A 25,813-nucleotide genomic window follows, 5' to 3' on the forward strand; every position below is an offset into this window, starting at 1 on the left:
CAAGAGAAAAAACTTAATGGCCAGGCACGGTGGCTCTTGCCTGTAATCTCAACAACACTTTGGGAGGCCGAGACCGGCGGATCACCTGAGGTGATCAAGACCAGCCTGATGAACATAGTGAAACCCCATCTCTACTAAAATACAAAAAATTAGCTGTGCGTGGTGGCCCGCACCGGTAATCCCAGTTACTCAGGAGGCTGAAGCATGAGAATCACTTGAACCCACGAGGCGGAGATTGCAGTGAGCTGAGATCGCACCACTGTACTCCAACCTAGGCAACAGAGCAAGACTCCATCTCAAAAAAATAAAGAAAATTTTTATTTATTTATTTATTTATTTTTTGAGACGGAGTCTCGCTCTGTCGCCCAGGCTGAAGTGCAGTGGCCTGAGCTCTGCTCCCTGCAAGCTCCGCCTCCCGGGTTCACGCCATTCTCCTGCCTCAGCCTCCCGAGTAGCTGGGACTACAGGCGCCCGCTACCGCGCCCGGCTAATTTTTTATATTTTTAATAGAGACGGGTTTTCACCGTGTTAGCCAGGATGGTCTCAATCTCCTGACCTCGTGATCCCCCTGTCTCAGCCTCCCAAAGTGCTGGGATTACAGGTGTGAGCCACCGCGCCCAGCCAAAAATAAAGAAAAAATTTAAGAAAATTAAAAAAGAAAAAAGAGCATCATCTCCCATTTCCAAGATTGGTTTCTAGATACAGTAATCCGGTAACTTTCACCATTAGAATCTTTAAACCAGTGCAACACTTGTACATATATTGATTTTAAGTACACAAATGAAGGCCCAACAGTGAGAGAAGGCTTAGGATCAAAAATCACTAGAAAGTCTCAGTTTTTTTGTTACTACTTAATCACTTAATTTTAATAATAGTAAAACAGGCCAGGCACAGTGGCTCATACCTGTAATCCCAGCGCTTTTGGAGGCCAAGGTGGACGGATCACTTGAGGTCAGGAGTTCCAGACCCTCTTGGCCAACATGGCAAAACCCTGTCTCTACTAAAAATACAAAAATTAGCCAGACATGGTGGCGTTCGCCTGTAGTCCCAGCTATTTGGGAGGCTGAGGCAGGAGAAATGAACCTGGGAGGCGGAGGTTGCATTGAGATCGTGCCACTGCACTCCAGCCTGGGCCACAGAGCGGGACTCCATCTCATAAAAAAAGCTTTGTAGGCCGGGCGCAGTGGCTCAAGCCTATAATCCCAGCACTTTGGGAGGCTGAGGCAGGTGGATCACGAGGTCAGGAGATCGAGACCAGCCTGGCCAATATGGTGAAACCTCGTCTCTACTAAAAAATACAAAAATTAGCCAGGTGTGATGGCACGTGCCTGTGGTCCCAGCTACTCAGGAGGCTGAGGCAGAAGAATCGCTTGAACCCGGGAGGCAGAGGTTGCAGTGAGCCAAGATCATGCCACTGTACTCTAGCCTGGGTGACAGAGCAAGAATCCATCTCAAAAAAAAAAAAAAAAGAAAGTTAGGCAGGTGAAATGCTGCTTGCCTGTAGTCCCAGCTACTTGAGAAGCTGAGGTGGGAGGATTGCTTGAGCCCAGAAGCTTGAGGCTGCAGGGAGCTCTAATCACGCCACTGCACTCCAGCCTGGGTGACACATCGTGAGCCTGTCTCAAAAACTAATAAAAGTAAAATAAAATTAATTTTGAAGTTAAGCTGCTCCATTATAAAAGGTCACCTGTTTTTAATTGTTTATTACAATTTTTTTTTACATGAAGGAAATTATGCAAATCTTAAGTCGTAAAACATGATGAATTTTTCCAGCTTTATTACATGCAATAAAATACAATAAAATAAACCTGTCTTAAGTGTACAGTTTTACATAAAATAAAATTTACATACAATAAAATACACCTGTCTTAAGTGCACAATTCGATGAATTTTAGTGATGCATATAGCTGTAAAACTACCACCACAAACAAAATATAGAATATTTCCATCACTCTAAAAAGTTTTCTCATGCCCTTTGATCTTCTTCCCTGCCCTCCCCACATCCTTCCTGCCACACGCCCAGGCAACTGTTGCTCTGTTTTATGTCACTATGATTTTGCCTTTTTGAAAATTTCATGTAAATATTTTTATATATGCAAAGTATATAGTCTTTTGTATTTTAGTTCTTTTACTTAGTATTATGTTTTTGAGATTCATCTTTATTGCATGTATCAATATTTATTTTCTATTGCTGAGCAATCTTCCTTTGTAACCAGTTAATGGATGTTTGGGTTGTTTGCAGGGTTTGATTAATATGAATAACTATCAATATAAACATTTGTGTGCAGTCTTTCAACATTTTTTTCCCTCTGTTGCCCAGACTGGAGTGTGGTGGTGTGATCATGGCTCACTGCAGCCTCAACTTCCTGGGCTCAAGCAATCCTCCTACCTCAGCCTCCCAAGTAGCTGGGACTACAGGAGTGTGCTATTTTTTTTTTTTATTTTTTTTATTTTTTATTTTTTATTTTTTTATTTTTTTATTTTTTTATTGATCATTCTTGGGTGTTTCTCGCAGGGGGGGATTTGGCAGGGTCATAGGACAATAGTGGAGGGAAGGTCAGCAGATAAACAAGTGAACAAAGGTCTCTGGTTTTCCTAGGCAGAGTGTTTGTGTCCCTGGGTACTTGAGATTAGGGAGTGGTGATGACTCTTAACCAGCATGCTGCCTTCAAGCGTCTGTTTAACAAAGCACATCTTGCACCACCCTTAATCCATTTAACCCTGAGTGGACACAGCACATGTTTCAGAGAGCACAGGGTTGGGGGTAAGGTCACAGATCAACAGGATCCCAAGGCAGAAGAATTTTTCTTAGTACAGAACAAAATGAAAAGTCTCCCATGTCTACTTCTTTCTACACAGACACGGCAACCATCCGATTTCTCATTCTTTTTCCCACCTTTCCCCCTTTTCTATTCCACAAAACCGCCATTGTCATCATGGCCCGTTCTCAGTGAGCTGTTGGGTACACCTCCCAGACGGGGTGGTGGCCGGGCAGAGGGGCTCCTGACTTCCCAGTAGGGGCGGCCGGGCAGAGGCGCCCCTCACCTCCCGGACAGGGCGGCTGGCCGGGCAGGGGGCTGACCCCCCCACCTCCCTCCCGGACGGGGCGGCTGGCCGGGAGGGGGGCTGACCCCCCCACCTCCCTCCCGGACTGGGCGGCTGGCCGGGCGGGGGGCTGACCCCCCACCTCCCTCCCGGACGGGGCGGCTGGCCGGGCAGAGGGGCTCCTCACTTCCCAGTAGGGGCAGCCGGGCAGAGGCGCCCCTCACCTCCCGGACGGGGCAGCTGGCCGGGCGGGGGGCTGACCCCCCCACCTCCCTCCCGGACGGGGCGGCTGGCCAGGCAGAGGGGCTCCTCACTTCCCAGTAGGGGCAGCCGGGCAGAGGCGCCCCTCACCTCCCAGACGGGGCGGCTGGCCGGGCGGGGGGCTGACCCCCCCACCTCCCTCCCGGACAGGGCGGCTGGCCAGGCAGAGGGGCTCCTCACTTCCCAGTAGGGGCGGCCGGGCAGAGGCGCCCCTCACCTCCCGGACGGGGCGGCTGGCCGGGTGGGGGGCTGACCCCCACCTCCCTCCCGGACAGGGTGGCTGCTGGGCGGAGACGCTCCTCACTTCCCAGACGGGGTGGCAGCAGGGCGGAGGGGCTCCTCACTTCTCAGACGGGGCGGTTGCCAGGCGGGGGGTCTCCTCACTTCTCAGACAGGGCGGCCGGGCAGAGACGCTCCTCACCTCCCAGACAGGGTCGCGGCCGGGCCGAGGCGCTCCTCACATCCCAGACGGGGCAGCAGGGCAGAGGCACTCCCCACATCTCAGACGATGGGCAGCCGGGCAGAGACGCTCCTCACTTCCTAGATGGGATGGCGACCGGGAAGAGGCGCTCCTCACTTTCCAGACTGGGCAGCCAGGCAGAGGGGCTCCTCACATCCCAGACGATGGGCGGCCAGGCAGAGACGCTCCTCACTTCCCAGACGGGGTAGCGGCCGGGCAGAGGCTGCAATCTCGGCACTTTGGGGGGCCAAGGCAGGCGGCTGGGAGGTGGAGGTTGTAGCGAGCCGAGATCACGCCACTGCACTCCAGCCTGGGCACCATTGAGCACTGAGTTAACGAGACTCTGTCTGCAATCCCGGCACCTCGGGAGGCCGAGGCTGGCGGATCACTCGCGGTCAGGAGCTGGAGACCGGCCCGGCCATCACAGCGAAACCCCGTCTCCACCAAAAAAATACGAAAACCAGTCAGGCGTGGCGGCGCGCGCCTGCAATTGCAGGCACTCGGCAGGCTGAGGCAGGACAATCAGGCAGGGAGGTTGCAGTGAGCCGAGATGGCAGCAGCACAGTCCAGCTTCGGCTCGGCATGAGAGGGAGACCGTGGAAAGAGAGGGAGAGGGAGACCGTGGAAAGAGAGGGAGAGGGAGAGGGAGAGGGAGACCGTGGAAAGAGAGGGAGAGGGAGAGGGAGACCGTGGAAAGAGGGGAGAGGGAGAGGGGGAGGGTGAGGGAGAGGGAGAGGGAGAGAGAGAGAGGGAGCGAGTGTGCTATTTTTTTGTATGTTTTGTAGAGACGGAGTCACGCCATGTTGCCCAGGTTGGTCTTGAACTCCTGGCCTCAAGTGACCCATCCGCCTCAGCCTCCCAAAGTGCTGGGATCACAACAAGCATGAGCCACCGCCCCCGGCCTGATCATACATTTTTATTTCCCTTTAATTTTGTATGTGTTGGGTTCATGGGTCAAATGGTAAGTATATGTCAAACTTCATAAGATATTGCCATATTCTTTCCCAAAGTGGCTACTACCCATTTTGCATTCCAACCAGCAATGTGTAAAAGTTCTAGTTGTTCTACATCAAGGCCATCTTTAGAAGTGAATCTTCCCAGACTTTAAAAAACATGCATATATTATGTATTTTTAATGTAAAAATGGTTCACAGATATCACTTAATATATCAGGGTCATCCTTGTATTGTCTAAATTAGACTTCTGTGACAATTTTTTTAATTAATTTTTTTTGAGACAGAGTTTCATTCGTGTTGCCCAGGCTAGAGTGCAATGGCACGATCTCGGCTCACCGCAACCTTCACCTCCCAGGTTCAAGCGATTCTCCTGCCTCAGCCTTCCAAGTAGCTGGGATTATAGTGATGTGCCACCACACCCGGCTAATTTTTTCGTATTTTAGTAGAGACGGGGTTTCTCCATGTTGGTCAGGCTGGTCTGGAACTTCTGACCTCAGGTCTCGAATTTCCGCCCACCTCGGCCTCCCAAAGTGCTGGGATTACAGGTGTGAGCTACCGGGCCTGGCATTCTGTGACAATTTTAATGTTGTGTTCCAATGTCTGAATCTCCCATTATTTATGTATTTATTATTTATTTTGAGATGGAGTTTTGCTCTTGTCGCCCAGGTTGGAGTGCAGTGGCACAATCTTGGCTCACTGCAACCTCCGCCTCCCAGGTTCAAGCGATTCTCCTGCCTCAGCCTCCTGAGTAGCTGGGATTATAGGCGCCCACCACCATGCCCAGCTAATTTTTGTATTTTTAGTAGAGACGGGGTTTCACTAGGTTGGCCAGGCTGGTCTCCAACTCCTGACCTCAGGTGATCCACATGCCTCGGCCTCCCAAAGTGCTGGGATTACAGGCATGAGCCACCACCCCCAGCCTCTCCCATTATTTATTACCAAACAAGGCAAGAAAAAAGGGTGAGGAGGATTTTGGTTGGATTTATTTCAGATATTGGCACTTGGAATAAATTTTGTTTAGTGAGTCTAAGGTTTGCAAAGTTAAAAATCAGGTATTGGCTAATGTATAACATCATGATACAGGATTTTTTTTTTTTTTTTTTTTGAGACAGAGTCTAGTTCTGACCCCCAGGCTGCAGTGCGGTGGGGCAATCTAAGCTCACTGCAAGCTCCACCTCCCGGGTTCACGCCATTCTCCTGCCTCAGCCTCTTGAGTAGCTGGGACTATAGGTGCCCGCCACCATACCTGGCTAATTTTTTGTATTTTTAGTAGAGACGGGGTTTCACCGTGTTAGCCAGGATGATCTCTATCTCCTGAACTCGTGATCCACCCGCCTCGGCCTCCCAAAGTGCTGGGATTACAGGCGTGAGCCACCATGCCCGGCCGATACAGGATTGTTAAAATACTGAAGGTATTTCATCACATAAAGGTATTTTTGGACAGGCATGGTGGCTCACGCCTGTAATCCCAGCATTTTGGGAGGCCGAGGTGGGCAGATCATGAGGTCAGCAGATTGAGGCCATGCTGGCCAACATGGTGAAACCCCACCTCTACTAAAATTAAAAAAAAAAAAAATTAGCCCAGTGTGGTGGTACACACCTGTAGTCCCAGCTACTCGGGAGGCTGAGGCAGGAGAATCGCTTGAACCCAGGGGGTGGAGGTTGCAGTGAGCCAAGACCATGCCACTGCACTCTAGCCTGGTGACAGAGCGAGACTCCGTCTCAAAAAAAAAAAAAGCTATTTGTGCTCAAGTGTCAGGTCACATTTCCTAGACCAATTCAGCTTTCCCTACACTCTTATCCTGTTGTATTTTTCGTCCTAGCACTTATTATCTACTCATATACTGACTCCCCCACTAGAATATGAGCTCCATGTAGGCAGTATTTTTTTAATGTGGTTTTCCCAGGGTATAGACTGATGCGTAGATTAAATAATTAAATATGGACTTGATATTTGTTAAATTAATGAATTTAAGAAGGAGGCCCAAGCATACCTTTTATTTTTTCAGACAGAGTCTCACTCTGTTGCCCAGGCCGGAGTGCAGTGGCACTATCTTGGCTCACTGCAACCTCCGCCTCCGAGGTTCAAGGAATTCTGAGTCAGCCTGCCGAGTAGCTGGGATTATAGGTGTGCGACACCATGCCCGGCTAATTTTTGTATTTTTAGTAAGATGGGGTTTCACCATGTTGGCCAGGCTGGTCTGGAAGTCCTGACTTCAAGTGATCCACACACCTCAGCCTCTCAAAGTGCTGGGATTACAGGCGTGAGCCACCCTGCCTGGCCGCAAGCATACTTTTTATAATAATTATATCTTACATGTATTCAGCATTTTCTATGTGCCAGGCTCAATTCTCATAACACTCTATAATAAAGCCATTATTTCAATTTTACAGATGAAGAAATTAAAGCTCAAGAGTTGGCTGGGCGTGGTGGCTCACGCCTGTAATCCCAGCACTTTGGGAGGCTGAGGCAGGTGGATCACGACGTCAGCAGATCGAGACCATCCTGGGTAACACGGTGAAACCCTGTCTCTACTAAAAATACAAAAAAAATTAACCGGGCGTGGTGGTGAGCACCTGTAGTCCCAGCTACTCGGGAGGCTGAGGCATGAGAATGGCGTGAACCCAGGAGGCGGAGCTTGCAGTGATCCCAGATCACGCCACTGTACTCCAGCCTGGGCGACAGGCGAAACTCAGTCTCAAAATAAATAAATAAATAAATAAAGCTCAAGAGTTTTTAAGTAACTTGCCCAAGTTCACATTAGGATTCAAAGCCAAGCGCTGTGGTTTCACAGGCCCACTTTTTTTTTTTTTTTTTTGAGACAGCATTTCACTCTGGCACCCAGGCTGGTGTGCAGTAGTGCAATCATAGCTCATTGCAGCCTCAACCTCCTGGGCTCAAGTGATCCTCCCACCTCAGCCTCCTGAGTAGCTGGGACCACAGGCATGCACCGCCACCTGTCTAATTTTATTTTTTGTAGAGACAGGGTCTCCTTATGTAGCCCAGGCTGGTCTCCAAACTCCTGGGATCAACGAATCCTCCTACCTCGGATTCTCAAAGTGCTGGGATTACAGGCGTGAACCATTGCACACGGCCTACACTGTGTCTTTTGATAACAGTCTTGGGCTTACTCAGATTTCTATAAGTATCCCCCATATTTTGGGAATTCCCAGGCCGTCTTCTTTCTTTCTCAAGCTTGTCTTCCTTTGTCCTGGAAACATCTTCATTTGTTACCTCTGTTTTGGAGTAAATCTTCCTTCTCACCCCTATCACACACAGAAGAAACTCAGCTTGTTGAAGGATTTTTATCACAACCAACCTTTCTAGGGGTGGAGAATGTGTTCCAGTGAATCTTCTCCCTTTACACAATCTTATGGCTCTCTCCTTGCTGCTCCTTGTCTTCCGCACCTTCTCTCCCTAATCGTCTTCTGGGAGCCCCCAACTCCTCACCTTTACTGTGACCTCCCTAAGCTTTCCACCTCAGAGGCTTAGCACCAGCTTCTACCCACACCCCGAAGGCTCAGTGCCACCTTAACCTCTTGCCCAAGGAAAAGGGTATTTCCCCTAAGGAAGACCTGATCTCTCCCTCAGAATCTAGTGCCAGTTTCCTCCCTGACACTCAGAGCATGCTTGCTAGGGGAAACCTGACTTCCCTGCAGCCACCCAAACTGAAAATAATACTCCTTTTTTTTTTTTTTTCAGACAGGGTCTTGCTCTGTTGGCCAGGCTGTAGTGCAATCGTGCGATCTTGGCTCATTGCAACCTTTGCCTCCCAGGTTCAAGTGATTCTCCTACCTCAGCCTTCTGAGTAGCTGGGACTACAGGTGCATACCACCATGCCAGGCTGATTTTTGTATTTTTAGTAGGGATGGGGTTTCACCACGTTGGCCAGGCTGATCTCGCACTCCTGACTTCGTGTTCCACCCACCTTGGCCTCCCAAAATGCTGGGATTACAGGTGTGAGCCACTGCGCCCGGCCTACTCCTCTTTAATGTGAATAATAACCAAGGTGTTCTCAGTCTTGTAAAAACTGTGAATAAGATCATCTTCAACATTACTATGTTTATTGGTCTGCTCGAAGTTACAATGTAGGTAAGCACAATATGCATGTTACATAAATGCAGCTTCAAAGATTAATCTTCCAGTCCCACCTAGGTTACTAATTTTAAGGAATTAGAGAAATTACAGGCCTGAGCCACCGTGCCCAGCCAATTTTTGTATTTTTAGTAGAGACATAGTTTCGTCATTTTGGCCAGGCTGGCATCGAACTCCTGACCTCAAGTGACCCGCCTGCCTTGGCATCCCAAAGTGCTGAGATTACAGGTGCGAGCTACTGCACCTGGCCACCCTTTTCAATATACATCTGGACCTTCAAGGTTTAATTTGAAAGGGGAGACGTCCAGCTCCCTTGTGTCAGTTAGCTGAAAAACAGGCTTCTTGTCTACATAAAGAACATGGGAGGCCAGGCGCGGTGGCTCACGCCTGTAATCCCAGCACTTTGGGAGGCCAAGGCAAGCGGATCACCAGGTCAAGAGATCAAGACCATTCTGGCCAACATGGTGAAACCCCATCTCTACTACAAATACAAAAATTAGGTGGGCGTGGTGGGGTGCACCTGTAGTCCCAGCTACTGGAGAGGCTGAGGCTGGAGAGTCGCTTGAACCCAGGAGGCGGAGGCTGCAGTGAGCCGAGAGTGTGCCATTGCACTCCAGCCTGGCGAAAGAGCGAGACTCCATCTCAAAAAAAAAGAACACAGGGAGTGGGAATATGAGAAAAGAGATAATAATTTTGTTATTGGAATGCTTAGAACAAGAGTCACTATAAGGTCATGGAGACAATGATACAGGGTGGCCCAAAACCACAGGTGCAAGAGACCAAAGTACCTACAGAACAGCGATGAAGGCGAGTCCCCACCTATAGGCACAAAACAGATTTCCCCTAGGACAGAGTTGAAGGCTGGTCCCGGAAATGGGACAAGACCAGGGTTAGGGTACCCAGTAAGCACTGGTTCATTCTGGAGCCCCTAGGATGAATGGGGGGACACCCTGTTCAGTCCGGTCTGCCATAAGTGCAGGAAAAAGATAGTAGGGAAACTAGAAGAGATGCCTTTTCCCTTCTCTCCTCTGCTCTCTCTTCACAGATGGGTAATCATGTCTCCATACAACAAGACGTGCCCCTCGGATGCATCTCAAGAACTGGGATAAGTTCAACCCCAAACCCTAAAACGAAAAACTAATTTTCCTTTGCAAAACCAGAGGAACTCTGGCCAAAACAAAAGTACAAATTTTAATTTTTTTTTTTTTTGAGATGGAGTCTCTCTCTGTCTCCCAGGCTGGAGTGGCGCCATCTTGGCTCACTGCAAGCTCCGCCTCCCAGGTTCACACCATTCTCCTGCCTCAGCAACCCGAGTAGCTGGGACTACAGGCGCCCGCCACCATGCCCAGCTAATTTTTTGTATTTTTAGTAGAGACGGGGTTTCACCGTGTTGGCCAGGATGGTCTCGATCTCCTAACCTCGCGATCTGCCCACCTCAGCCTCCCAAAGTGCTGGGATTACAGATGTGAGCCACTGCGCCCGGCAAAAGTACAAATTTTCATACCGTCCTCCAGCTGGACCTTTCCTGCCACCATCAGGGCAAATAGTCAGAGGTCCTCTATTTACGAACCTTCATGGCCTGAAGGAAAAACCCCAATCCTTATAAAGCTTGTAAGGCAAACCCCACTGTCCTAGCTATGCTTAGCTGCCTTCTCCAGGGCCCTCCACTGGGACTCACCTGCTGACTCCCTTCTCCTCCAAAAGCCAAGGGGAAAAATTGCCTCCCCCTCCTCCACAGGCCAAAAAGTGAAAAACAGCCACCTGCCTCCTCCCCTGTTTATCTCACTCCCAGACCTTTGGAATCAGCCCTGCCCTACACAAAGCCCGTTAGTTCTCCCTCCAGGCTCTGCTTGTTAGAGGAAGTAAGTGAGCCAGTTGGACCCATCCAAGTCCTCATCTCCTTTTCAGCCTGGACCTTTGGCAAATTAAAAAAAAAAAAAAAAAAAAACTAGGAAAGTTCTCAAATGACCCCAGAAGCTCATTGAAGGCTTCCAAATATTCACCCTTACATTTATTTATTTATTTTTTTGAGACAGAGTCTCGCTCTGTCACCCAGGCTGGAGTGCAGTGGTATGATCTCGGCTCACTGCAACCTTCACCTCCTGGGTTCAAGCAATTGTCATGCCTCAGCCTCCCGAGTAGCTGGGACTACAGATGCATGCCACCATGCCCAGCTAATTTTTCTATTCTTAGTAGAGACGGGGTTTCGCCATGTTGGTCAGGCTGGTCTTGAACTCCTGACCTCAGGTGATCCACTTGCCTCAGCCTCTCAAAGTGCTAGGATTATAGGCATGAGCCACTGTGCCCGGTCAGCCCTTACATTTAGATTAACTTGAAAGGACATAAATATCCTCCTGGGACAAGCCCTCTCACGGGAGGAAAGAGAAACCATCTGTGAAGCAGCCAGACACTGTGGGGATGAATTACACCTGGCAAACGTCAACTACTCTCGAGGGGCTACAGCTGTTCCCCAACAAGACCCCAATTGGGACTACAATATCCAAGCAAAAATATGGGCCAGGAACCACATGCTGCTGTGTCTAATAGAGGGAATAAAATAAAGTAAGGTTAAGTCTAGGAACTCTAATAAGTTAGCCACCATAAACCAGGGGCCAACCAAAAATCCCATAGCCTTTCTCGAAAGGCTACAGGAAACCCGTATTAAGCATACCAACTTAAACCCAGAATCCCCTGAGGGACAACTAGTTGTAAAGGACCATTTCTTTACCCAAGCCATCCCGGATATCAGGAAAAATTACAAAAGTCAGCCTTAGGACCAAGTACTCCTATGCCAGAAATCCTCAAATGAGCCTCCTCGATCCTTTATAACCAAAATCAGGACAAGGAGGACAGGGCTAAGGAAAACGAAAATGTAGGGACAAGAGGCAGGCTCAACTACTAGCTGTTGTGCAAGCCCACCAGCCCCCTCCAGGTTGCCTTCAAGACACTCCTCCAGGTAACTGCCATCAGTGGGGAAGACTAGGCCACTAGAGAAGGAATTGCCCAAAATGGAAGGATGCCATGCATAGCCTGACCAATCTGCCATAGGCTCGGCCACTGGAAAGACTGTCCCAGGAGACAAAAGGCCTCCCGGTCAGATCTCCACCCAATAATGGCCTTGAACTGAAGGGGCTCTTCACTCACCAGCTTCCAAATCAGACGTTGTCATTAAAGGAACAAAGCCAAGGACAACTCTGGAAGTGGCAGGTAGGACTCTATACATTTCCTTCGAAATACAAGAGCTGTCTACTTTATGCTAACCTCCTTCTCCAGGCAGCTTTCCTCCAAATCCTGTCGGGTAATGGGGGCAAGTGGCACCCCTTTCTTTCTTTCTTTTTTTTTTTTTTTTGAGACGGAGTCTTGCTCTGTTGCCCAGGCCGGAGTACAATGGTGCGATCTTGGCTCACTGCAAGCTCCACCTCCTGGGTTCATGCCATTTGCCTGCCTCAGCCTCCCAAGTAGCTGGGACTACAGGTGCCCGCCACCACGCCTGGCTAATTTTGTTTTTGTATTGTTAGTAGAGATGGGTTTTCACTGTGTTAGCCAGGATGGTCTCGATCTCCTGACCTCGTGATCCGCCCACCTCGGCCTCCCAAAGTGCTGGGATTACAGGCATGAGCCATTGCGCCCGGCCCCCTTTGTTTCTTTTTGACATCTCTACTTAAGACCCGAGGAGCCTTCTACATTTGTGGCCAGTTATTTCACCAATGCCTCTGCATTAACTGGACTGGAATGTGTACCATAGGCTGTGTATCTCCAGACATCTTCAGAGCTCCTGGCAATCTCTCTCTTCAGTACCAATTAATGGATCTATGGACATTCTATTTTTTTTTTTTTTTTTGAGATGGAGTCTCGCTCTGTTGCCCAGGCTAGAGTGCAATGGCACGATCTTGGCTCATTGCAACCTCGGCCTCCCAGGTTCAAGCGATCCTCCTGCCTCAGTCACCCTAGTAGCTGGGATTACAGGCATGCACCCGGCTAATTTTTGTATTTATAGTAGAGACAGAGTTTCACCATGTTGGCCAGGCTGGTCTCGAACTCCTGACCTCAGGTGATCCACCCACCTCAGCCTCCCAAAGTGCTGGGATTACAGGCGTGAGCCACTGTGCCCGGCCCAAGCATTTCATCTTGCCCAGGGTGAAGAGGGCTATCCAATTAATTCCACTTCTTGCTAGATGTGGCATTATATCCAGTATGGGAACCAGAATTGCCAGAGTCACAGAAGCCTCCTTGACCAGCTCTCAACAGACATAGCCAACAACATTGATGCCACAACTAAAACCTTAATAGCTGTGCAAGAACAAATTGACTCGTCAGCAGCCATAGTCCTCCCAAATCGCCAAGGAGTACATACGTTAATGGCAGCACAGGGAAGAATTTGTTTAGCCTTAGATGAAAAATGTTGCTTTTGGTTAAATCAATTGGGAAAAGTATACGACAACATCAGACAACTCGTAAATTGAGTCTCCTATGTATGGGAACAAGGAACAAGCCTCTCAGGGTTGGTTAGATTAGGAGGGAACATGGAAATGGTTCTCCTGGGTTGTCTTCTTTTAGGCCCACTTGTTAGTCTCCTACTTTTGCTTCTTTTTGGTCCATGTCTTCTAAATCTGATAACCCAATTTGTTTCCTGTCACCTTCTGGACATCAAGCTCCAGATGACCCTCAGTGAGGGATACTTTCCTCTCAATATTCAAGAGTCACCTTTCTACAGAGCACCCCTAGACGACCCATCAGTGAGACACGCCAGAGGCGAAATCCTGCCCATCTCGCTTGGACCTGGCTAGATACGACTTTCACCAACCCGCAAAGCCACCCTTGCTGGAATCACAGAAGCCTCCTTGAGATTTTGGTCCACGAAGACATGGACCAAAAAACAGCAAAAGTGGGCCGGGTGCGGTGACTCATGCCTGTAATCCCAGCACTTTGGGAGGCCAAGGCAGGTGGATCACCTGTGGCCGGAAGTTAGAGACCAGCCTGGCCAACACGGTGAAACCCTGTTTCTACTAAAAAATATAAAAATTAGCTGGGCGTGGTAGTGTGTGTCTGTAATCCCAGGTAATCAGGAGGCTGAAGCGGGGGAATCGCTTGAACCTGGGAGATGGAGGTTGCAGTGAGCTGAGATTGCACCACTGCACTCCAGGCTGGGTGACAGAGTCAGACTCCATCTCAAAAAAAAAAAAAAAAAAAAAAAAAAAATCAATCAATGACCAGATTCCCCATGATTGAGGAATTGATAGAAAGTTGGGAGAGGGGACTGAAACTGGTCCAATTGTCCCATAGAACTGATGTCAATTGTTTCATAGGACTGATGTTTATGGTTTCTTTTGAATAAAACAAAATTGACTCAGTCTTAAAACTTAAGAAAATTACATTTGTTTTGTCTGAGTTCCTTTCTCAGGAAACCAACCAGCAGGGCTCCCAGACAGTATCTAGGAACTTAAACTCACCAGGATCACTGCATGAGGACAGTGAGGTGCCAGACCCTTCACCCATCATGATTCTCTATCCAATACCTGTTTGACCAGCTCCTCTTCCTTACCCCACCTTAATTCCTATTTTTCTGTATGAAGTTACATTTCTTCCTTGCTATATAAATGCCTGAATTTAATTGCTTAGGGAGATGGATTTGAGACTAATCTGCCATCTCCTCAACTGCAGCATGATTAAAACCCTCTTCCCTGGCAATACTTGTCTCAGTGATGGGCTTTCTTTTCTTTTCTTTTTTTTTTTTTTTTTGAGACAGAATTTTGCTTTTGTTGCCCAGGCTGGAGTGCAATGGTGAGATCTTGGCTCACTGCAACCTCCGCCTCCCGGGTTCAAGTGATTCTCTTGTCTCAGCCTCCCGAGTAGCTGGGATTACAGGTGCATGCCACCACGCCTGGCTAATTTTCGCATTTTAGTAGAGATGGAGTTTCATCATATTGGTCAGGCTGGTCTCAAACTCCTGACCTCAGGTGATCTGCCTGCCTTGGCCTCTGAAAGTGCTGGGATTACAGGCGTGAGCCATTTTGTGCCCAGCAGTGATTGGCTTTCTATGCAGCCAGCAACAAGACCAAGATAGAACTCCTGGTGTTTCAGTAACAATTCCCCTGGAGATTATGATTTCACTGGTCAAGGGTGGAGCCTAGGAATCAGTATTGTTAACACGTCTCTCAGATAATCCTGTCCTTGCTCATTAGGAAACTGCAACTCTAAAATAAACATCAAATTTTGTCATTGTAGATCTATTTAAAATTAAAACCTCTTCAGTGGCTCCCTGATGTGGTTTAGATTTGTGTCCCTACCCAAATCTCATGTCAAACTGTAATCCCCAGTGTTGGAAGAGGGTGTCAGTTTCCAATCTGAGCTGGGGTCCAAGAGGAGTTGGTGGATGGGTGGCGGGTAGCTGAAAAAACACTCTAGGGAGTATAGGCAGTTGGGACATGGCCTTATTATCTCTCTCTCTCCTACAGAGTCAGCAGAGCAGTTATATTTTCACAGACAATAGTGGCTCAAAGCCAGGTATGAGCTCACACAAACAGGATACATCAAAATGGCTACATAAATGTGATTACATACTGCATGCAATTGTGCACCTGTGGTCCCAACCTGCTGTCATGCTGTACTGGATGTCTGCCTCAGCCCACTCCTGACTGAAGCACAGCCATTTTCCTTACAGAGGGGCCTGGTGGAAGGTGATTGGATCATGGAGGCATATTTCCCTCTTTCTGTTCTCGTGATAGTGATTTCTCACAAGATCTGGTAGTTTAAAAGTGTGTAGCCCCTCCCCCTGCTCTCTCTTCCTCCTGCTCCGGCCACATAAGATGTGCCTCCTTCCTTTTCACCTTCCGCCAATGATTGTAAGTTTCCTAAGGCCTCTCCAGCCAGCTTCCTGTACAGCCCACAGAACTGTAAGCCAATTAAACCTCTTTTCTTATAAATTACCCAGTTTCAGGTATTTATTTATAGCCGTGAGAGAACAAACTAATACAGAAAATTGGTACTGGAAAGTAGGGGCATTGCTGTAAAGATACCTGAATATATGGAAGCAGCTTTGGAATTGGGTAATGGGCAGAGGTTGGAATGGTTTGGAGGGCTCGGAAGAAGACAGAAAGTTGAGAGGAAGTTTGGAACTTCCTAGAGACTTGTTAAATTGTGACCTAAATGCTGAAAGTGATCTGGACAATGAAGTCCAGGCTGAGGTGGTCTCAGATGGAGATGAGGAACTTATTGGGAACTGGAGTAAAGGTCACTCTTGCTATGCTTTAGCAAAGACACTGGAGCTTTGATCCAGTGCCCTAGAGATCTGTGGAGCTTTGAACTTGAGAGAGATGATATAGGGTATCTGGTGGAAGAAATTTCTAGGCAGCAAAGCATTAGAGATGTGGTCTGGCTGCTTCTAATAGTGTATGCTTATACGCGTGAATAAAGAGTTGATCTACAACTGGAACTTATATTTAAAAGGCAAGCAGAGCATGAAAGTGTGGAAAATTTGCAGCCTGGCCATGTGGTAGAAAAGAAAAACCCTTGGGAGGCCGAGGCGGGTGGATTACTTGAGGTCAGGAGTTAGAGACCAGCCTGGACAATGTGGTAAAACTAAAAATACAAAAATTAGCCGGACATGTTGGCACATGCCTATAGTCCCACCTACTTGGGAGGGTGAGGCAGGAGAATCGCTTGAACCTGGAGGGCGGAGGTTGCAGTGAGCCAAGATCACGCCATTGCACTCCAGCCTGGGCAACAAGAGGGAAACTCCGTCTCGAAAGAAAAAAAAAAACAACAAAAAACAAAACCCATTTTCAGGACGGGAATTCAAGCTAGCTATAGAAATTTGCAGAAGTAAAGAGGAGCCAAGTGCTAATAGCTAAGACAATGAGGAAAAGGTCTCAAAGGCATTTCAGAGAACTTTGCAGCAGCCCCACCCAGAAAAGTGGGGGCAGAGGCCTAGGAGGGAAGAATGGTTTTGCAAGCCAGGCCCAGGGTCCTGCTGCCCTGCGCCTTGCCTCCCCAGCCATGCTTCCAGTACAACCTGTGGAACAATGAACCAATGAAACCTTTCTGTTTTGTTGTTGTTGTTGTTGCTTTTTGAGACGGAGTCTCACTCTGTCGCCCAGGCTGGAGTGCAATGGCATGATCTTGGCTCACTGCAACCTCCGCCTCCCAAGTTCAAGTAATTCTCCTGCCTCGGCCTCCCTCCCGAATAGCCTGGATAACAGGCTGTCAGGCCTCTGAGCTGAAGCTCAGCCATTATAACCCCTGTGACCTGCACATACACATCTAGGTGGCCTGCAGGAGCCAAGAAGTCTGGAGCAGCAAAAGAAAAAAACTACAAAGAAGTAAAACAGCGAGTTCCTGCCTTAACTGATTAACTAACATTACAATATTTTATTATTGTGACTTGTCCCTGCCCTACCTTAGCTGATCAATCAACTTTGTGACATTCTTCTTCTGGACAATGAGTCTTATGATCTCTCCACCATGCACCTTGTAAACCCCTCCTCTGCTAACAATAGATAACCACCTTTTGCTATAATTTTCCATTACCTACCCAACTCCTATAAAGCAACCCATTCCCTATCTCCCTTCGCTGACTCTCTTTTCGGACTCAGCCCACTTGCACCCAAGTGAATAAACAGCTTTATTGCTCACACAAAGCCTGTTTGGTCGTCTCTTCACACGGACTCACTTGACACAGGCGTCCACCACCACGGTCGGCTAATTTTTGTATTTTTAATAGAGACAGGGTTTCACCATGTTGGCCAGGCTGGTCTCGAACTCCTGACCTCAAGTGATCCACCTGCCTCGGCCTCCCAAAATGTTGGGATTATAGGTGTGAGCCACCGTGCCTGGCTGAAACCTCCTTTCTGGTAAATTACCCAGTTTCAGGGTTTTTTTTTTTTTTTTTGATACGGAGTCTCAGTCTTGTCACCCAGGCTGGAGTGCAGTGGCTCAATCTTGGGTCACTGCAACCTCCGCCTTCTGGGTTCAAGCTATTCTCCTGCCTCAGTCTCCTGAATAGGTAGCACACGCCTGTAGTTCCAGCTACTTGGGAGGCTGAGGCTGGTGGATTGCTTGAACCCAGGAGGTGGAGGTTGCAGATGACACCACTGCACTCCAGCCTGGGTAACAGTGAGAGTCCATCTTAAAAAAAAAAAAAAAAAAAAAAAGAAAATTTCCCCAGGTGCAGCCAATGTTGAGAACCACCAGAAATAATCAAGCCTGAGCTGTTTAACCTGGTGTTGAAAACCCAACCATGAAAGCCTCCTGCCTGCCGAAATAGCCCCATTTTCTATGACACTTGTGCATATGCACGCTACAGTCCAGCTTTGCCAGATTATCTTCAAATAGGGTCATCTAAGGATTTAAAACATTAAATTACCTGTAATTCCCAAACCTATGGTACTTTCACACATCTAGGTCTTTCCACAGTTTATTCTCACTTTGTCTTGAATACTTTTACTGTCCTGGCAAACAGTTATTTTCCCACAAGGATGAAACTACTGGCTGAGCACAGTGGCTCATGTCTGTAATCCCAGCACTTGGGGAGGCAGAGGCAGGCGGATCACTTGAGGTCAGGAGTTCAAGACCAGCCTGACCAACATGGTGAAACCCGTCTCTACTTAAAAATACAAAAGTTAGCCGGGCATGATGGCAGGTGCCTGTAATCCCAGCTACTCAGGAGGCAGAGGCAGGACAATTGCTTGAACCCGGGAGGTGGAGGTTGTAGTCAGCCAAGATTGTGCTACTGCACTCCAGCCTGGGCAATAGAGCAAGACTCTCCTTTTAGAGGTTCCTCTGGCACATGTGCTGAGGTAGAGTAAAACACTTCCTTCTTTGTGCTAAACTACCCCTCTTGGCACAGAGCTGTATTACTATACTTATCATATGAGGGGCTAGCAATATTATATCTTGAGTACAGGTACTATGTCTGGTTCATCTTTATATCCCTTGCACCTAGCCGAGGGTAGGAACAGAGTAGGCAGCCAATAAATGCTTTTTGGCTTAGTGAAAGCACTCACAAGGAACAAAATTAAAACAAGCAGGAACATTACCCTTTTTATAAAAAATCTGAATATAATCTAATCATCTAACCACACTTTTTTTTTTTTTGTTTGTAGAGACAGGTGTCTCACTATGTTTCTTAGGATGGTCTTCAACTCTTGGCCTCAAGTGATCCTTCTGCCTTGGCCTCCCAAAGTGCTGGGATTAGAGGCATGAGTCACCACACTTGGCCCACATTAAGATCTTAATTAGGAAAGAATTTTTAAGGCCAGGTTTGTGGCTCATGCCTGTAATCCCAGCACTTTGGGAGGCCAAGGCAGGTTTGAGACCAGCTTGGCCAACATGGTGAAACCCTGTCTCTACTAATAAAAATACAAAAAATTAGCTGGGCGTGGTGGTGGGAGCCTGTAATCCCCGCTACTGAGGAGGCTGAGGCAGAATTGCTTGAACCCAGGAGGCAGAGGTTGCAGTGAGCCGAGATCACACCATTACACTCCAGCCTGGGCAACAAGTGCGAGACGCCCTCTCAAGAAAAAAAAAAAAAAAGAATTTTTAAGCTGTAGGTCTCATGTGGAGAAATACACCTTGAAAGCACTCCAAAGAGAGTAATGAGCCATTTCCTTAATTAACTATAACGTAGTTCACATGTTCATTCCAAGGCCTTGAAATAATCCTGTTTCTTCATATGTATCTGATATGGCTTGGCTGTGTCCCCATTCAAAACTCATTTTGAATTGTAACTCCCACAATTCCCATGTGTCGTGGGAGGAACCTGGTGGCAGGTGATTGAATTACGGGGGCAAGTCTTTCCTGGGCTGTTCTCATGATAGTGAATACATCTCAAGAAATCTGATGGTTTTAAAAATGGGAGTTTCCCTGCACAAACTCTCTCTCTGCCTGCTGCCACCCATGTAAGATGTGACTTGCTCCTTGCCTTTCACCATGATTGTGAGGCCTCCCCAGCCAGGTGAAACTGTAAGTCCGTTAAACCTTTTTTACTTTCGTCTTGGGTATGTCTTTATCAGCAGCATGAAAATAGACTAATACAGTAATTTTGGTACCAGAAGTGGGGTGCTGCTGAAAAGATACCTGAATATGTGGAAGTGACTTTGGAACTGGGAAATAGGCAGAGGTTGGAACAATTTGGAGGGTCAGAAGAAGACAGGAAAATGTGGGACAGTTTTGAATTTCCTAGAAACTTGCTGAATGGCTTTGATCAAAATGCTGATAATAATATGGACAATGAAATTCAGCATGAAGTGCTCTTAGATGGAGATAAGAAACTTGTTGTGAACTGGAGCAAAGGTGACTCTTGTTATGTTTTAGCAGATCTACTGGTGGCATTTTGCCCCTGCCCTAGAGATCTGTGGAACTTTGAACTTCAGAGAGATGATTTAAGGTATCTGGTGGAAGAAATTTCTAAGCAGCAAAGCATTCAAGAGGTGACTTGGGTGCTGTTAAAGGCATTGTTATTTTTATTTTTATTTTTTGAGATGGAGTCTTGCTCTGTCGCTAGCTGGAGTGCAGTGGCACGATCTCAGCTCACTGCAACCTCTGCCTCCCGGGTTCAAGCATTTCTCCTGCCTCAGCCTTCTGAGTAGCTGGGATTACATGAGTGCACCACCACACCCAGCTAATTTTTGTATTTTTTAGTGGAGACAGGGTTTCATCATGTTGGCCAGGATGGTCTCGATCTCCTGACCTTGTGATCTGCCCACCTTGGCCTCCCAAAGTGCTGAGATAACAGGTGTGAGCCACTGTGCCCGGTTGGCATTCAGTTTTATAAGGGAAGCAGAGCATAAAAGTTCAGAAAATTTGCAGACTGACAATGTGATAGAAATGAAAATCCTGGCTGGGCATGGTGGCTCACGCCTGTAATCCCAGCACTTTGGGAAGCCAAGGCAGGTGGATTACCTGAGGTTGGGAGTTCAAGACCAGCCTGACCAAAATGGAGAAACCCCATCTCTACTAAAAATAGAAAATTAGCCGGGCTTGGTGGTGCATGCCTCTAGTCCCAGCCACTTGGGAGGCTGAGGCAGGAGAATCACTTGAACCTGGGAGGTGGAGGTTGTGGTGAGCTGAGTTTGCGCCACTGTACTCCAGCCTGGGCAACAAGAGCAAAACTCCATCTCAAAACAAAAAACAAACAAACAAAGAAAATCCCATTTTCTGAGGAGAAATTCAAGCTGGCTGCAGAAATTTGCATAAGCAATGAGGAGCTGAATGTTAATCACCAAGACAATGGGGAAAATGTCTTCAGGGCATGTCAGAGGTCTTCATCACATCCCCCCGACATTCACAGGCCTGGAGGTTTAAGAGGAAAAAGTGGTTTTGTGGGCTGGGCCCAGAATCCCCTTGCTGGTTGCAGCCTGGGAACTTGGTGCCCTACGTCCTAGCTGCTCCAGCCGTGACTGAAGGGGTCAATGTAGAGCTTGGGCCATGGCTTCAGAGCATGTACGCCTCAAGCCTTGGCAGCTTTCACATGGTGTGCACAGAAGTCAAAATTGAGGTTTGGGAACCTCTGCCTAGATTTCAGAGGATGCATGAAAATGCCTGGATATCCAGGCAGAAGTTTGTTGCAGGGACAGGGCTCTCATGGAGAACCTCTGCTAGGGCAGTGTGGAAAAGAGATGTGGGGTTGGAGTCCCCACAAAGAGTCGCTACTGGGGCACTGCCTAGTGGAGCTGAGAGAAGAGGGCCACTGTCCTCCAGACCCCAGAATGATAGATCCACTGATAGCTTGCACTGTGTGCCTGGAAAAATCGCAGACACTCAACACCATCCTGTGAAAGCAGCCGGGAGGGAAGCTGGGAGGTAAAGCCACAGGGGTGGAGCTGCCCAAGACCATGGGAACCCACCTCTTGCATTAGCATGACCTGGATGTAAAACATGGAGTCAAAAGAGGTCATTTTGGAGCTTTTAAGATTTGACTGCCCCACTCAATTTCAGACTTGCATGGGGCATGTAGCCCCTTTGTTTTGGCCAATTTTTCTCATTTGAAATGGCTGTATTTACCCAGTGCCCATGCCCCTGTTGTAGCTAGGAAGTAACTTACTTGCTTTTGATTTTACAGGCTCATAGATGGAAGTGACTTGCCTTATCTCAGATGAGATGTTGAACTGTGGAGGTTTGAGTTAATGCTGAAATAAGACTTTAGGGGACTGTTAGGAAGGCATGATTGGTTTTGAAATCTGAGGATGTGAGATTTGGGAGGGGCCAGGGGCAGAATGATATGGTTTGGCTGTGTCCCCACCCAAATCTCATTGTGAATTGTAACTCCCACAATTCCCATATGTTGTGGGAGAAACCCAGTGGGAGGTGATTGAATTATCGGGTCAGGTCTTTCCTGGGCTCTTCTCCTGATAGTGAATGTGTCTCATGAGATCTGATTCTTTTAAAAACGGGAGTTTCCGCTGGGCATGGTGGCTCATGCCTGTAATCCCAGCACTTTAGGAAGCTGAGGCAGGTGGATCATGAGGTCAAGAGATCGAGACCATCCTGGCCAACATGGTGAAACTCCATCTCTACAAAAATACAAAAATTAGCTGGGCGTGGTGGCACACGCCTGTAGTCCCAGCTACCTGGGAGGCTGAGGCAGGAGAATCACTTGAACCCGGGAGGCAGAGGTTGCAGTGAGCCAAGATCCCACCACTGCACTCCAGCCTGGTGACAGTGCAAGACTCTGTCTCAAAAACAAACAAATAAACAAACAAACAAACAAAAAACAGGAGTTTCCCTGCACAAGCTCTCTTTGCCTGCCACCATCCATGTAAGATATGACTTGCTCCTCCTTGCCTTTTGCCATGGTTGTGAGGCCTCCCAGCCACGTGGAACTGTAAGTCCATTAAACCTCTTTTTCTTCCCAGTCTCGGTTGGATATTTCTTTATCAGCAGTATGAAAATGGACTAATATAGTATCTAAGACTTAAAAAAAAATTTAAGGTGAAATCAAGACTTAAAAAAAAATTTAAGGTGAAATCTACATAACACAAAATTAACCATTTTTAAATGTCCAATACAGTGGCATTTAGTAAATTCACAATGTTATGCAACTACACCACCTCTATCAAGTTCCAAAATAGTTTCATCACTCCCCCCCCAAAAAACTCTGTATCCATTAAGCAGTTATTTTTCATTTTCCCCCTAGACCCTGGAAACCACAGGAACATTAACTTTTAAGTTATTCTAAGGAATTTTAGAGACATAGATATTAAAACAGACAGATTTCAGATGGCTGTGCAACTGCTTCCAGTCATACAGAAAAGAGTTTTTTTTCAATAATCTCAATTCCAATTTTTATTAGCCATTCTATGTACATTGATACCAAGTCCTGAAAACTGATAAAAACATGTCCAGAATTTCTTTTTTTCCTTTTCTGAGAAAGGGTCTTGCCCTCTCACCTAGGATGGAGTGTAGTGGTGCAATCACAGCTCACTGCAGCCTCAGAATCTCCCAGTCTCAAGTGATCCTCTCATGTCAGTCTCCTGAGTAGCTGGGACTACAGGCACATGCCATCACACCCAACTAATTTTTTTATTTTTTGTAGAGATGAGGGCTATGTTGCCCAGGTTAGTCTTGAACTCCTGGACTGAAGCAATCCTCCTGCCTCAGCCTCCCAAAGTGTTGGGATTATAGGCATGAGCCACAGGACCTGGCCCATGGTTTCTTATACAGTCAATGTACAAATGCTCATTTATATTTTGCACAATAATGAAGATAAAAATAACAATTATAGCAACATACAAATATGTACAAAGATTCCAGACAGACTTTGTTTTTTGGCTTATAACAATGTGTAGATACTACACAAAGAATGAGGATGTAATTTTCATTTACAAGCAAAATGTGACCAAAATCCCTTTTCTTCTTAAAATTGAAAAATGAAATTCTTGAGAATACTAATTAGTGACGGCCAAATCTTAGACTATTTTAAATTAGCCATGGTTAAACATAGGTGAGTTAAACATTGTGCCTTTCCAAAATTAAGGTTTGCAGTTAGAAACATAAACATTTGATAAAACTTCTCAAAATTAATTATGAGTGGCTTATTCATGTCCTTTGGATTCCAGACACACACTAGAAAAAGTAAACGTTAAAGAGGTGATATTTTGGAAAGCATCCCTAGTACTGAAAAGCATCCCTAGCACTGAAAAAAGCATCCCTAGTACTGAAAAGCATCCCTAACACTGAAAAAAGCATCCCTAGTACTGAAAAACATCTTCAGGAGTACTCAGTACTCCCTAGTACATCCCTAGTACTGAAAAAAGCATCCCTAATACTGAAAAGCATCCCTAGTACTAAAAAACATCTTCAGGAGTACCCAGTGGTCAAACACTAGCAGGAAACTCATGATGCACTAACAATACTGAGAACAAAGTGTGGGAAGTAATAAGCAGCTATTTTACTGATGTATTAAATATATTAGAATTATGAGGCATGAGATGATATTTATGTGATTTTTAAAAGGTTTAAAATATTCTTAGGGACTCAATTAGATATTGAGAATGACTGATAACTATGATCTCAAAAACAGTATATCACACATAATCATGGTGTTACCTTACTAATAGGAATTTAGTTTTTAATAACTAACTGAATTTTATTTTACTGGCTTCAGAAGCAGCTGCCTATTTTGAGAACTACATGAGTTAATACGATCATATATAATTAAGTTAATGTCACAGAAACCAAAATGATAATAGTTTACAAAAGAAGAAAGTGCCCCATTTATTGGGTTGTGACATCAGGCTGAGATGGCTTAGGGCTGGAAAGCAAGGATGAGTGTAGCACTGGGGCTCAGGTACAAATCTGTTTATAAAGCTCAAGGAGAGAAAAGGCACGAGAAGGGGTGAGACAACTCTGAATGGCGGTGGTACCTGGATGTGGAATTACCACAGTGGGCCAGAGACAGGATGGTATATAACCCTCTGGCCAGGTACTATGGGAACCAACCCCTTCCTTCAATATTAAATTAAGAATACAAATATCTCAAAGCATGCTATCAAAAGTAGATTATTTATCCTCATATTACAGAACACAGAAGGAGACATTTATTTTTAAAAGAGAGCTAAAAAGTTATGGGGTTTCTCCTTATTTCATCTTGAAAACTCAAGGAGCAAACATTAAAAAAAATTCCCTATTTATATATATATATATATTTTTTGAGATGGAGTTTTACTCTTGTTGCCCAGGCTGGAGTGCAGTGGCGCAACCTTGGCTCACCACAACCTCCGCTTCCTGGGTTCAAGCAATTCTGCCTCAGCCTCCCAAGTAGCTGGGATTACAGGCATGCGCCACCACACCCGGCTAATTTTGTATTTTTAGTAGAGATGGGGTTTCTCCATGTTGGTCAGGCTGGTCTCGAACTCCTGACCTCCGGTGATCTGCCCGCCTTGGCCTCCCAAAGTCCTGGGATTACAGGCGTGAGCCACAGCGCCTGGCCGGACTATTAGTATTTTTAAAAGGCACTTAAAATATTCCTTTCCAATCCAACTCAAAATACATCTCTGTCAACTACATTTTGGATAAATATTTTAAAAAGCACATAATTTTTGTGCAATTTTTTCTTATAACCCAGTGATATTTATCATCTATAGGGCTAAAAGGTTTGAAGGACAGAGCTCCAACTTTCTGCAGAACAATCTGAAAGTGCTTTTATCATAGAAACAAGAACAACATTAATGATTTGCTCTTTCACTGACAACATCCTGTAGTCGTTTCAGTAAAACGTCATCATTTTCTTGACAGACGCGTTTGGCAGGGGATTCTGCATCACTATCGATGGCTATTACTCGCTTCTTGGTTCTCTGCTCACCTTGCCTTATCATGTTGTTGATATCTTTCAAACTCTGTGCAGAAATAGAGAACGTGTGTGAGTAAAAGAGGGAGAGGGGAAATGGCAGCAAACAACCAAGCTAATTGTTTTTTCCTGTGCTCTATCCTCTATCCAAATCTTAACACTGGGATAAGGACTCTTTTTAAAACTTAGAACAACCTAATAAGGGATGGCTT

General features: G+C 46.6%; 1 protein-coding gene across 5 annotated transcripts in view, besides 4 other annotated features; it reads right to left on the reverse strand.

Annotated features, from left to right (window-relative positions):
- Window positions 2,400-2,971: an enhancer, noted in NCBI's record as "NANOG-H3K27ac hESC enhancer chr20:35604082-35604653 (GRCh37/hg19 assembly coordinates)". NCBI's record gives its function as "activates a minimal SCP1, AML or CMV promoter by ChIP-STARR-seq in naive H9 embryonic stem cells {active_cell/tissue: H9 hESC(naive)}" and the evidence as "EXISTENCE:reporter gene assay evidence [ECO:0000049][PMID:30033119]".
- Window positions 2,972-3,542: an enhancer, noted in NCBI's record as "H3K27ac hESC enhancer chr20:35604654-35605224 (GRCh37/hg19 assembly coordinates)". NCBI's record gives its function as "activates a minimal SCP1, AML or CMV promoter by ChIP-STARR-seq in naive H9 embryonic stem cells {active_cell/tissue: H9 hESC(naive)}" and the evidence as "EXISTENCE:reporter gene assay evidence [ECO:0000049][PMID:30033119]".
- Window positions 16,349-16,850: an enhancer, noted in NCBI's record as "H3K4me1 hESC enhancer chr20:35618031-35618532 (GRCh37/hg19 assembly coordinates)". NCBI's record gives its function as "activates a minimal SCP1, AML or CMV promoter by ChIP-STARR-seq in naive H9 embryonic stem cells {active_cell/tissue: H9 hESC(naive)}" and the evidence as "EXISTENCE:reporter gene assay evidence [ECO:0000049][PMID:30033119]".
- Window positions 16,851-17,350: an enhancer, noted in NCBI's record as "H3K4me1 hESC enhancer chr20:35618533-35619032 (GRCh37/hg19 assembly coordinates)". NCBI's record gives its function as "activates a minimal SCP1, AML or CMV promoter by ChIP-STARR-seq in naive H9 embryonic stem cells {active_cell/tissue: H9 hESC(naive)}" and the evidence as "EXISTENCE:reporter gene assay evidence [ECO:0000049][PMID:30033119]".
- The window catches only part of RBL1 (RB transcriptional corepressor like 1), a 99,649-nt gene continuing 96,905 nt past the window's right edge, over window positions 23,070-25,813 (reverse strand). For all 5 annotated transcript variants that reach the window (NM_001323281.2, XM_047440348.1, NM_002895.5 and 2 more), the window contains one exon: window positions 23,070-25,650. In NM_001323281.2, the coding sequence (NP_001310210.1) occupies window positions 25,480-25,650 (171 nt within the window). In that variant the 3' untranslated portion in view covers window positions 23,070-25,479. The remainder of the gene's footprint in view (window positions 25,651-25,813) is intronic.

This window comes from Homo sapiens, chromosome 20 (genome assembly GCF_000001405.40).
Source record: "Homo sapiens chromosome 20, GRCh38.p14 Primary Assembly".
Taxonomy (NCBI): Eukaryota; Metazoa; Chordata; class Mammalia; order Primates; family Hominidae; genus Homo; species Homo sapiens.